Here is a 13,008-nt window from a genome sequence, read left to right on the forward strand (position 1 = left end):
CAGTAAAGAGAAAGTCAAACTCCTGCTGTTTGCTGATGATACAATCATATGCCTAGAAAACCCTAAAGACTCATCCAAAAAGCTCCTAGAACTGGTAAATGAATTCAGCAAAGTTTCAAGATACAAAATTAATGTATACTAATTAGTAGCTCTGCTATTCACCAACAGTGACTAAGCTGAGAATCAAATCAACAATTCAACCCCTTTCACAATAACTGCAAAAAAAAAAATAAAATTCTTAGGAATGTACTTAACCAAGGATGTAAAAGCCTTTACAAGGAAAACAACAAAACACTGCTGAAAGGAATCATAGATGTCACAAACAAATGGAAACACATCCCATGCTCATAGAAGGGTAGAATCACCATTGTGAAAATGACCATACTGCCAAAAGCAATCTATAAATTCAATACAATTCCCATCAAAATACCACCATCATTCTTCACAGAACTAGAAAAAACAATCCTAAAATTCATATGGAATCAAAAAAGAGCCTACATAGCCAAAACAAGACTAAGCAAAAAGAACAAAGTTGGAGACATCACAATACCTGATTTCAAAGTATACTATAAGGTCACAGTCAACAAAACAACATGGTATTGGTGGCACATAGACCCGTGGAACAGAATAGAGAACCCAGAAATAAAGCCAAATACTTACAACAAACTGATCTTTGACAAGGCAAACAAAAACACAATGTGAGGAAAGGACACTGTATTCAACAAATGGTGCTGGAGTAATTGGCAAACCACATGTAGGAGAATGAAACTGGATCCTCATCTCTCACCTTATACAAAAATCAACTCAAGAAGGATCAAAGACTTAAATATAAGGCCTGAAGCCATAAAAAGTCTAGAAGACAACATTGGAAAAACCCTTCTTGACATTGGCTTAGGCAAAGACTTTATGACCAAAAACCCAACAGCAAATACAACAAAAACAATGATAAATAGGTGGGACTTAATTAAACTAAAAAGTTTCTGCACAGCAAAAGAAACAATAAGCAGAGTAAACAGAAAACCCACAGAGTGGGAGAAAATCTTCACAATTTTTACATCTGACAAAGGACTAATATCCACAATCTAGAAAGAACTCAAACGAATCAGCAAGAAAAAAAATCCCACAAAAAAGTGAGCTAAGGACATGAATAGACAATTCACAAAAGAACATCTATAAATGGCCAACAAGCATATGGAAACATGCTCAACATCACTAATCATCAGGGAAATGCAAATCAAAACCACAATGCAATACCACCTCATTCCTGCAAAAATTGAAAAATAATAGATATTGGCATGAATGTGGTGAAAAGGGAAAACATTTTTACACTGTTCGTGGGAATGTAAACTAGTACAACCGCTATGGAAAACAGTGTGGAGATTCCTTAAAGAAATAGATCTACTGTTTGATCCAGCAATCCCACTACTAGGTATCTACCCAGAGGAAAATAAGTCATTATATAAAAAAGATAATTGCATATGCATCTTTATAGCAGCACAATTTGCAATTGCAAAAATATGAAACCAGCCCAAATGCCCATCAATCGACGAGTGAAGAAAGAAAATATGGTGTGTGTGTGTATACCATGAAATACTACTCGCCATAAAAAGGAATGAAATAATTACATTTGTAGCAATCTGGATAAAATTGGAGACTATTTTTCTAAGTGAGGTAACTCAGGAATAGAAAACCAAACATCACATGTTCTTACTCATGTGGGAGCTAAGCTATGGGGATGCAAAAGTATAGGAGTGATACATTGGACTTTGGGGACTCAGGGGAAAGGGTGGGGAGTGGTGAGGGATAAAAGACTACACATAGGGTACAGTGCGCACTGCTCAGGTGATGAGTGCACCAAAATCTCACAAATCACCACCGTAGAACTTTTTCATGTAACCAAATACCGTAACCTGTTCCCCAAAATCCTATTGAAATAGAGAAATAAAGATATCTTTATGTTATAACATAAAAACAGCTTTATAACATAAAGAAAGCAGCACTTGCTGCTTCTCTGTGTGTCTTTATGTTCTAAAGATGGCTTCTTTTTTTAAACCTCTGCTTGCCTTAAACTAACCTCTGCTTGCGTTAAACTTTTCTTCTATCATTTCCTCACCTCTTTCAGCCTTCACAGAATTGAAGAAAGTTACGGCCTTGTTCTGGATTAGACTTTGACTTAAGGAAATGTGGCTGGTTTGATCTTCTCTCCAGATCAGTCAAACTTTCTACATCTCAGCAAGAAATTTGTTTCACTTTCTTATTATTTGTGTAAATAAATAGTAAAGTAGCACTTTGAGTCGCCTTCAATAACTTTTCCTTTGCATTCACAGCTTGGCCAACCATTTGGTGCAAGGGGCCCAGCTTTCAGCCTGAAGGCTTTCAACATGCCTTCTTCACTAAGTTTAATCGTTTTAACTTTTGATTTAAAGTGAGTGATGTGAGACTCTTCCTTTCACTTGAGCACTTGAAAGTCATTGTAGTTTTATTGATTGTCCTAATTTCAATATTGTTGTGTCTCAGTGAACAGGCAGGCTAGAAGAAAGGGAGACAGATGTGGTGGGAACAGCTGTTTGGTGGAACAGTCCGAACACTTACAACACTTATCAATTAGGTTCACCATCTTACATGGGCACATTTCATGGCACCCATAACAATTACAATAGTAACATCAAAGATCACTGATCACACATCACCCTAACATATATAATAATAAAAGTGTTTGAAACACTGGGAGAATTACCAAAATGTGACACAGAGACACAAAGTGAGTGCATACTGTTGAAAAATGGCATCCATAGACTTGCTTAACACAGGGTTGCCACAAACCTGCAATTTGTAAAAAAATAAAATAAAATAAAAACAAATACCAATATCTGCAAACTGAAATAAAGCAAAGTGCAATTTATGAGGTGTGCCTGTGATTGTCAACATTCTTTGGTCCTTTCTGGTTCTGCCGTCTGGCTTCTATATTATTCACCTGAACTCTTACTTCATTTGACCTGACTCTTTTTCTTTGCCCTGTTTTTAATTTGTTCTTTCGCCTTGCCATTTTTTTTCCTTTTTTTAAAGAAAAACTATTTTAAAAAATAATATCACAATTGTATATGTAGGTTATGGAAAATTATATAAGCAAAAGATGAAATAGAGTAAATACACTCAGCTAACATGGCTTACAGACCTGCTAACATGCATTCTTCCAGATGTTTCTCTTTGCAGACACACACACACATATATAAACTACATTTAAAAATCACACAATTTCAACCTGCTTTTTTTGCTTATTATACTTTGATTATCTTCAATGTTAACATTAATATGTGTATATACACACACACGCAAATATATGGTTCAGTAGAGCAAGATGAGTAACCAGTAGGTCAAAAAAGAAATCAAAAGATTAGAAATGAAAATGAAAACACAACATATCAAAAATTATAAGATGTTGCTGGACGCAGTGACTCATGCCTGTAATCCCAGCACTTTGGGAGGCTGAAGTGGGTGGATCACTTGAGGTTGGGAGTTTGAGACCAGCCTGGGCAACATGGTGAAACCCCATCTCTACTAAAACTACAAAAAATTAGCTGGGCATGGTGGCAGGTGCCTGTAATCCCATCTACTCGAGAGGCTGAGGCCAGTGAATCACTTGAACCCGGGAGGCGGAGGTTGCAGTGAGCCGAGATCGTGGCACTGCACTCCAGTCTGGACAACAGAGCGAGACTCCATCTCAAAAAAAAAAAAAGTTATAGAATGTATTAGGTTGGTGCAAAAGCAGTACAAAGAGGGCAGTTTATAGGGTTAAACACTTATATTTAAAAAGAAGATGATCTCAGAGAAACAACCTACCTTTATACCTCAAGGAACTATAAAAGGAATAAACTAAGCCCAAAGTTAGCTGAAGGAAGAAAATAATAATGCTTAGAGCAGAAATAAATGACATAGAGAATAGAAAAAAATAGGAAAATAGTCAACAAAACCCAGAGTTGTTTTTTGAAAAGTAGACAGCATTGACAAACCTTTGGTTAGACTAAGAGTAAAGAGAAGACGAATAAAACGGTTTGAATTCAAAACTTGACTACCTTCTACTAGCTCTGTGACTTTGGACAAATTATTCAGGTGCCTGACATCTCAGCAAAGTGTGGATAGCATGAATGTCATCCTCAAGCCTGCTGCCATGTTTAAGATAAACCAAGTACTGTGCCTGGCACATAAGAAGCACTCAATAAAAGCTAGTTATACAATTTTCTATATTTTTCATGACTTCATACTGAGTCCCCATATGGTTGCGTCTTAACAGTTTTTGATTAATGGTCATTTAAGGGCATTCTAGGTTTTCATTGTTATAAGCAATATTGCAAGATGCATCCAGTCCTTATGTCCTTCCATCCACCTGTAATTCTTCCCCTGATTTTTAATATGTATGGGACCTGAAACTTGTGACACCTGTGTTCTCACCTCTCACCTTATCTCCATGACGACTATAATCGCTTTCTTTTAAAAAAAAGTGTTTAATTACTTACTTTTTATTTTTGTAGAGATTAGGTCTCACTATGTTGCCCAGGCTGGTCTTGAATTCCTGACCTCAAGCAATCCTTCCATCTCAGCCTCCCAAAGTGCTAGAATTACAGTCGTGAGCCACTGCTCCCAACCGACTTTATTGAATATCAGCTCTATTTCTGACATCAGAGTAAAGAGAACTGCAGGCATGCCTGTAATCCCAGCACTTTGGGAGGCCAAGGCAGGAGGATCACTTGATGCCAGAAGTTCAAGTCCAGCCTGGGCAACATAGTGAGACCCCCATAAAAATAAAAAATAAAAAATAAGAGAACCACAAGCATAAATTCTTCGTAAAGTGTGGAGTATCTCTGTGAGCGAAGGAGTCTGAATCAATGACTTCAGTAATTTATTTGAAATAATTATTCTCACATGATAGGTCCCTAACTCCCACCCCATCCAATCAATCAATGAAAAGAGTGAAGCAAATGGGCTTTATTGGTTCATCCTTGTGTTTAATTCTGCAACAGGTGCTCAGGTGATAACTGTCAGTGAGGGTGTTTCCACTTGTAACCTTCTGTGATTAGATCCAGCACAAGAAAAACACTTATTAGATAGAATTTCAATGCATTAGAACTAAAGTCACCAGCTACAATCATGTCGATATGATTTCACCTGAGGATATTTACCAGGGTTACTAGTGCGGCAGGCCAGAGATTAACTCTCTTCCTATTAGAGTAAAATTACCCAAGTTTGTAGGATACGATGCGTGAATCACAATTATTTTGCTCATCCAAATCTCAAAGAGCAGTGATAACTGGTGTCAACAGTGACACCAAACACCACTGAGCATCAGAACTTCTTCATTTCTCACTGTCCTCTTTACCAGGGTCCCTCCCAATCTCTTTATCTCCCCTTTGCTTATTTTGCCTTCCTTCACGTGTTCTTTTCTAAAGTCTGTCTTCCCTTCATCTTCTCTCCCCAACCACTCCTAATCTTTGCCTTGACCCTGCCTCTCTCTCTCTCTCTCGAGCTCCCACGTCGTCTTGTCCCCATCGTCTACTCTCAAACTTCTTGAAAGAGTGCCATTGCAAAATTATAACTGAGACTGTGAAAGAGATCTGACCTAACCAGCTCCATCTTGCTTCTAACCTCCAAGCTGTCTTTGTTCATTCCTGGGTGTAGGCTGAACAAATTTGGGGAATAACTTAGTTTATGGTTTAAAACAAAGACAGTAACAGCCCTTTCCCAAAACAGACCTCCTTCTTGCTTGGAGACTAGACTGCCTTTGTAGGACTAACAAATTACCTATAAGATTGGAAATTATGTTTTAGGGGTCATGCAGCTGGAGGCTACAATATTCTGACCCTTCCTAAACTGCTCCTAAGGTCAGTACTTGAGATATTATGCAGACGCTGCATTGACGGGTCAGCTGGCACCACCCAGATCGATAACTGGCTCATCTGATCTTGTGCCCCCCACCCAGGAACTGACTCAGTGCAAGAGGACAGATTCAATTCCCTATGATTTCATCTCTGACCCAATTTTCATGACTTCATACTGAGTCCCTATATGGTTGTGTCTTAACAGTTTTTGATTAATGGTCATTTAAGTGCATTCTAGGTTTTCATTGTTAAGAGCAATATTGCAAGATGCATCCATTCAGCACTCTCGACTCACTGGCTTTCCCCCAACCCACCAAATTATCTTTAAAACTTTAATTCCCAAATTTTCAGGGAGACTGATTTGAGTAATAATAAAACTCCACTCTGCCATAAAAACAAATAAAGAAACAACTACTTGGAAGAGCAGTCCTTATTGCTGCTCCCCTCTTCACATCTCATCTCTTCAAACTCCTCAACGTGGCTTCCATCTCTATTGCTGTAGATGCTGTGCTCTCAGAATTCAGGAATGATAAACCAATAGCCATATGTGATCCTGGTTTTCCTCCTAATTCTGGCTGATCTTTTCTTCTTGAAGCTTTTCTTGGACTGTTTCATTCCCATTGACGTTAGGGTCTCCAGCACTCCATCTTCTATCACATTCTTCACTAGCTCTTCCCACTTGCCTTGACAATTTTACCTAATTCCACGACAAGCTGATGGCTCCTAAACTCACTTTTCAGCTGAGCTCCACCCAACAGTGATTCCACTGTCACTGCTCTAATTATGACCCTCGATGTTTCCCACCCAAAACTATTACAACAACATCTTTTTTTTTTTTTTTTTTTTTTTTTTTTTGAGACGGAGTCTTGCTCTGTCGCCCAGGCTGGAGTGCAGTGGCGCGATCTCGGCTCACTGCAAGCTCCGCCTCCCGGGTTCACGCCATTCTCCTGCCTCAGCCTCCCGAATAGCTGGGATTACAAGCATCTGCCCCCATGCCCGGCTAATTTTTTTGTATTTTTAGTAGAGACAGGATTTTGCCATGTTGGCCAGGCAGGTCTTGAACTCCTGACCTCAGGTGATCCGCCCACCTTAGCCTCCCAAAGTGCTGAGATTACAGGCGTGGTAATTAGTGTAATCTCAGGAATTAGTTAAACCTCAGGAATTAGTGAGAACGATTTATTTCCTTCTCTTTGTGTTTTCATGTGAGGAACTTCCCTAGATAGCAATCCCAGCTTTTCTCCTAACCTCTACTTATTTCTGGAGGGTAATTTTGCAGGTTGGTGAGTTGAGAGAAATGTACCATTCATACTCCCTCAGCTCCCTTCTGTCTCCTGAAAAACAAGTGTCTTATAGGGCTCCCTACCACAGTCTGGTGACTGGCCCCAGTGGGAGAAAGGCCTGCATTCAATTGACTGTAACTAAGTGGATATGTTTGTAAAATTCAGGGTAAACGATAAGCAAACACACTAGGCTGCAGACTTGAGGCATAGAATTCAATAGCTTTATCATTTCCAACTTTTTGACTCCTGTGCCTCCCTCTCAATTGGTTTCTAACTGGGCATAGAAATCTCAACTCTGGAAAGAATGCAACTCAAGAATTTCGTTTAATAAACATTCACTGAAGGGTGACAATGTGGAATCCATTGCACAAGATATGGGGTGTATGAAGATGAAACGAGAAATTAAAAAGGGCAAAACTCTGGAACTGAAATGGGAGAGTTCCCTTATCCCCTTTGCAGGACATGCAGCAGGGGTGTGGCTTGCTTGTTCAGTTGCCTCTGCTGCTCAAACCTCCAATAGGAGAGAGAACACATAGATAGGCAGGTGCAGAAGCCAAGGCAAGTGCTGTGGGCTCCAGCCCCATGGTAGTGTCTAAGGGTGGGTGCCTGCAGCCCCAGTGTTACAATGCTCTTTTAGCTCTGCCATCCGTAGATGGCTTAAGTTTTAACCAGCCCAGTGGACCCTCTGTCTTTTCACAAGGGTGGGGGGCTAGTGTGACAGTTTTCTGTATCCCGAGCTCTTGCCCAGCATCCCGGAAGAATCGGGTAATACACGGGCTTGAAGGATGAATGTGAGGTTTTATTGAGTGGTGGAGGTTGCTCAGCGGGATGGATGACGAGTTGGCAGGGGGATGGAGTGGGAAAATGATCTTCCCCTGGAGTTTGGCCATCCAGCTGCCGAACTCCCCTCCGACTGTCCCCAGCCGAATTCCTCTTTGCCTTCAGACATTCCTTCTCTTCTCCCTTTCTCTGCCATGCCGTTCTGCTATCCATCTGCTTGCCTGCTTGTCTCCTTGTCTCCTCGTCTGCTTCTGGAGCCTTGGGGTTTATATGGGTACAGGATAGTGGGGGCATGGTGGGCTAAAAGGCAACTTTTTGGGCACGAAAACAACAATGCCTGTTCTCACTTAGGGCTGCAGATCTTCAAGCTTGAGGATGGGGCGTTTGCCAGGGAACCACCCTCTTCTACCCAGTATCTCCCTGTCTCCTGTCCATATCAGAACTGCTTCCAAATATAGGCTGCAGACAAAGCACCACATGGCTTTCTGGCTTACCTTTCCTAAATACCAGGTTCCTGCTAGATGTGAGGCACAGATGGTATGATTTGGATCACAATTTTCTTTGGCTGCGTCATTTCTCATTTCACTGAATGATATTTTCTAAGCAATTTTATTAATTTCACGTTTATACTGAGGAAAGTAGTTATTTTCTTTATGCTTTCAGAAAGATCCTGAGCAATAATTGAATTAAAACAGTAAGGGCAACTCTTGTCAAAATGCCAAATTAATTCCCTGAAACCTAAATTCATTGACAAATTTTGTGTTTTAACTTAATTTGATTTAAATTTTGGTTGTTGGAACATTGGGAAGGACTTACTTTTTTTCATTTCTTCATGAAATATAATTTTTTTGTCACTCTTGTACTCTTCCCTTAAATATGATCAAACCAGGATCCATATACAACTGGAAGAAAAGTGAATTGTTCATATTAAACATTATGGGTTTGCATCCCTGAGTTCTTCCCACTTCAGCGCAAAGTGAGACAGTTTCCTTAGAAGAGCTCAATTTCACTATTGTTTCAACTAAATACAATGTTGTGATATGAAACCAGATGGCCATATCTTTTATTAAGCCTATTAGTGTTTTTTTTCTATTTCTAGTTAATATTATCTTATTGTAAGCAAAAGTGGCAACAGAAATACAGAGCTACACATTTTTCCTAATAACTGTGTTCTGATTACTGCTTTGGTTTTTGAGAGAAATAGACAAACATTGAGAATTTATCATTTTCTTTCTGAAAGTGACGTGCTTTTCATAATTGTAGGCTCACCACAAAAAGTTTACAGACTTCAAATAAAAGATTCTATTCACTTATCTCAGTTCAAGGCTGAAAAATACAGTCCTAGGGATTTATCTGTAGCTGATTTTATCTCTTTCTTGTTGGTAAAGGACAGCCTTAAAAAACCTCTAGGGCTTAAAAGTAAAATATTGTCGTGCAAAATAATCTCTTCAGCAGTGATGATTAAAAACAAAATGTGAGCAACTTCTTGTCCTTACAAGAAGCCAAATAGTATGAAAATCTCAAGCACAAAACATAGTAATTGAAAGTACTATAATCCATCATTCCGTGCACTCATCATCCAAAGTTTAAATTCTAGCTAATGCCCAAGCATAAAAGAGCTACTGTGCTAGTGATTTCCTGAAGATCTGCTGACTTTTGATTCATTGAATAAACATTTATTAAAGCCATTAGTGTCTGCCAGACATTGTGCTAGACATTCTGAACATTAAAGCTTTGATTAAATTGAAGTATAATTAACTCCAAACTAAATGCAGTTTTTCATGGCTTCAGTTCTTGAGGAAATTAAAGGCAAGAAAATAACCATAATGTATTTTTAGAACAAGAATTTCCAGGATGACTGTAGTGTCATTAAAAAATCAGTACCATTTTCTGTCCCTGGGACCCACAAGGTTATATATGTAATAAGAATTGGTGCTTAGAAAAAGCTGTCCTGATACAGTCTTTAGCTATTAGCAATCTCAGGCTATTCCAATGACTTACAAAAAACATTATCTTAGAATTACTCAAATTACCATGTCAGCGATAAGGGGTTTGCCCTCTAAGAATAGCCAATCTTTCCCCAGACACAAAAACTGGATGATAGAAAAACTGATCTCTGATGCACATTTGGGAAATTAACTAGTCCCTAGCACCCAAACAATGTTCAAAAATATTACCTGCCTCCCCACCTCGCACCAACAGCCACAGCCCAGGCCTCCTGGATGATGTCACTGCCCAGGGTTGCTGAGGTTGCAGAAGCCCTTGAGACTGTCAGTGAAGCTCAAGCTCTCGTGCCCAGGAGGCTGTGCAGGGTTAGAGACTCAGTGTCACACTCCAAGGTCAGGTGTAATTGACTCTGCCCATTATGTTTTTTCAGTTGAAAATATATTGCAACATGCCTCAAAATAGATTTAAAAAAGAACTTTTGGAGCATCGCCTGATTGCAATTTGACAACAAGCTGTTCTGTTACTAATTAATTTATACCCCACCTTGTTCCAAAAAGACTTAAGTCAGCCAAAAGAATGCAAAGAATTGGCTGCCTGTGTCTTTCTTACTACTATAGGAAAGTGAATGTATTAATATATTTAAAGCCTTTTTTAAAAAACTTAATATTTTATTTTTTTATTTTTAACCTTTTTGAGTCTCATTTTGTCACCCAGACTGGAGTTCAATGGTGCAATCTCTGCTCACTGCAACCTCCGCCTCCCAGGTTCAAGCTATTCTTGTGCCTCAGCCTCCTGAGTAGCTGAGATCACAGGTGCACGCCACCACGTCTGGCTAATTTTTGTATTTTTGGTAGAGACAGGGTTTCACCATGTTGGCCAAGCTGGTCTCGAACTCTTGGGCTCAAGCAGTCCACCTGCCCAGGCCTCCCGAATGCTGAGATTACAGGCGTGAGCCACCACACCCTGCCAAAAGTTAGAATTTTTAAGAAAGCATTTTAGTTAATTTTTAAATCAGAATCCTCATTGTGCAGGTTATTAATAGATCTGTGGCTTTAAAGAAAATGTAGCTTCCAAAATAGAGATTTGAAATCTTTTTCCAGGAAATACTTTTCTTTGGTTAATTACAGAATTATCCTACCACCTCTTGGCCTTAACATATACCTGGACTGCCCTTTCTCTGTGGTCCAAATGGCTCCTTCCCCTGTGTGCCCCTGAATAGAGGTTGCTCACTCTCACCCAACCTATGTCTTAGGGTCTGAAGAGTGAGTCAACAATCTCACTGCTTCCTAGAAACTTCCAGAACTCCCTCCTCCTATAGAAACCAGGCTTCTTTGAGAGTCATGGGAATCTGCCACTCTTTCCTTCAATATTTCAGCCATAAGTTGACCTCCTGGTCTCTCCCCTACATTCACAGAAGATTCTGACTTTAGAACATTTTCTGTGTCATCTCAAGTCTCACCATCAGCTGGAGTGACTTTAATAAATAGTTTCTACAATCCCTACTCTGACCACTTTTGTCCCTTTCTATCTTCACTTTCTTTCCCTTGTTCATCCTCTCAACAGTTTTCTTTCCAAAACCTTCAACTTCCTTGCCCCTTATTGCTTATTTCAGTCACCTAAAAATGTGCCCAGTATTGAATCAAAACACTTTACCATCTTTTCTTCTCTCCATTGCTACAGAGTGCTGCTGGAGAAATTTACACAACTCTATTCACACCAAGGCCACCTACCAAACCTACTTATCCTACATTAACACATTCTATTCTTTACATCAGCTATTTCAAACCTTCCACACTTTCTGCAAACCTTCTGCCCCACACTTATATCTCATTATAATGAGCATCTTAGTCTTGAATTTCTAGAAAGTACTTTGAGGATAAGATAATCGTACAGAAAATATAAATTCTCTAGGATGAATTGGCCTAGGAAATATAGAGTAATAATGTAAGACTGGAGATAGAGCTACAAGGAAAAAAAATGCTAATATATTAATTTCATCAAAATACTAACCTATCAAAATATTACTAGAACACAATTTACAGTTATTGTTTAACTTGAAAAAATAAAGCATATTTATATACTATCTAAAAGGTAAATTACAAGATTAGATAAATGTAGCTGTCTTTTTTTTTTTTTTAAGACAGAGCCTTGCTCTGTCACCCAGGCTGGAGTGCAGTGGTGCAATCTCAGCTCACTGCAACCTCCGCCTCCTGGGTTCAAGTGATTCTCCTGCCTCAGACTCCCAAGCAGCTGGGATTACAGGCACATGCCACCACGCCCAGCTAATTTTTGTTTTTTTTTTAGTAGAGACGGGATTTTGCCATGTTGGCCATGCTGGTCTCAAACTCCTGACCTCAGGTGTTTCATTAGCCTCGGCCTCCCAAAGCGCTGGGATTACAGGAGTGAGCCACCGTGCCCAACCTGCTGTCTCTTTATTATACTGTCTTGTCATATAACTCATGTCTATGACTACATTTGAAGATGAATACAGAATATCATGATGCCTCAGTTGTAAAACAATCTCTTTAGAAAAATACCTACTTGCAGTATTTTCACGTTGATATAAAACTACTTAAAAGTCTTCTGTGTCTAGTAGAATAATGAGTAGATTTCTATAGCATATTTCAGCCATTACTTAATTTGAATCTCTAAATAATCCTACAGAATAGATTTATTGGTCTTATTTTATATTAGAAATGTAGAACTCAGAATGGTTACTCTGCTCATCCAAAGTCATACAGGGAATAAATTATAGTCAGAACTTGATGCCAAGTCTTCTACGTCCATAGCCTTTTCTTTCTACTACATTATGTTTTCATTTGCAAGAGAATAAGCCTCCCCTCAAAAAGCCATTGAAGGCCAGGTGCAGTGGCTCATGCCTATAATCCCAGCACTTTGAGAGGCTGAGGCAGGTGGATTGCTTGAGCTCAGGAGTTCAAGACCAGCCTGAGCCATATGGAGAAACCCCATCTGTATAAAAAATACAAAAATTATCTGGACATGTTGCTGTGCACCTGTAGTCCCAGCTACTCAGGAGGTTGAGGTGGGAGGATTGCTTGGGGCCAGGAGATCAAGGGTGTGGTGAGCTGTGGTCGCACCACTGCACTCCAGCCCGGGTGACAGAGGGA

The 13,008-nt window shown here is 39.5% G+C and overlaps 1 pseudogene across 1 annotated transcript in view; it reads right to left on the reverse strand.

Moving 5' to 3' along the window:
* SULT6B2P (sulfotransferase family 6B member 2, pseudogene) overlaps positions 1–13,008 on the reverse strand; it is a 35,556-nt pseudogene that overhangs the window by 3,709 nt on the left and 18,839 nt on the right. The gene's annotated exons all lie outside the window — the stretch shown is intronic.

Source organism: Homo sapiens, chromosome 12 (genome assembly GCF_000001405.40).
Source record: "Homo sapiens chromosome 12, GRCh38.p14 Primary Assembly".
Lineage (NCBI taxonomy): Eukaryota > Metazoa > Chordata > Mammalia > Primates > Hominidae > Homo > Homo sapiens.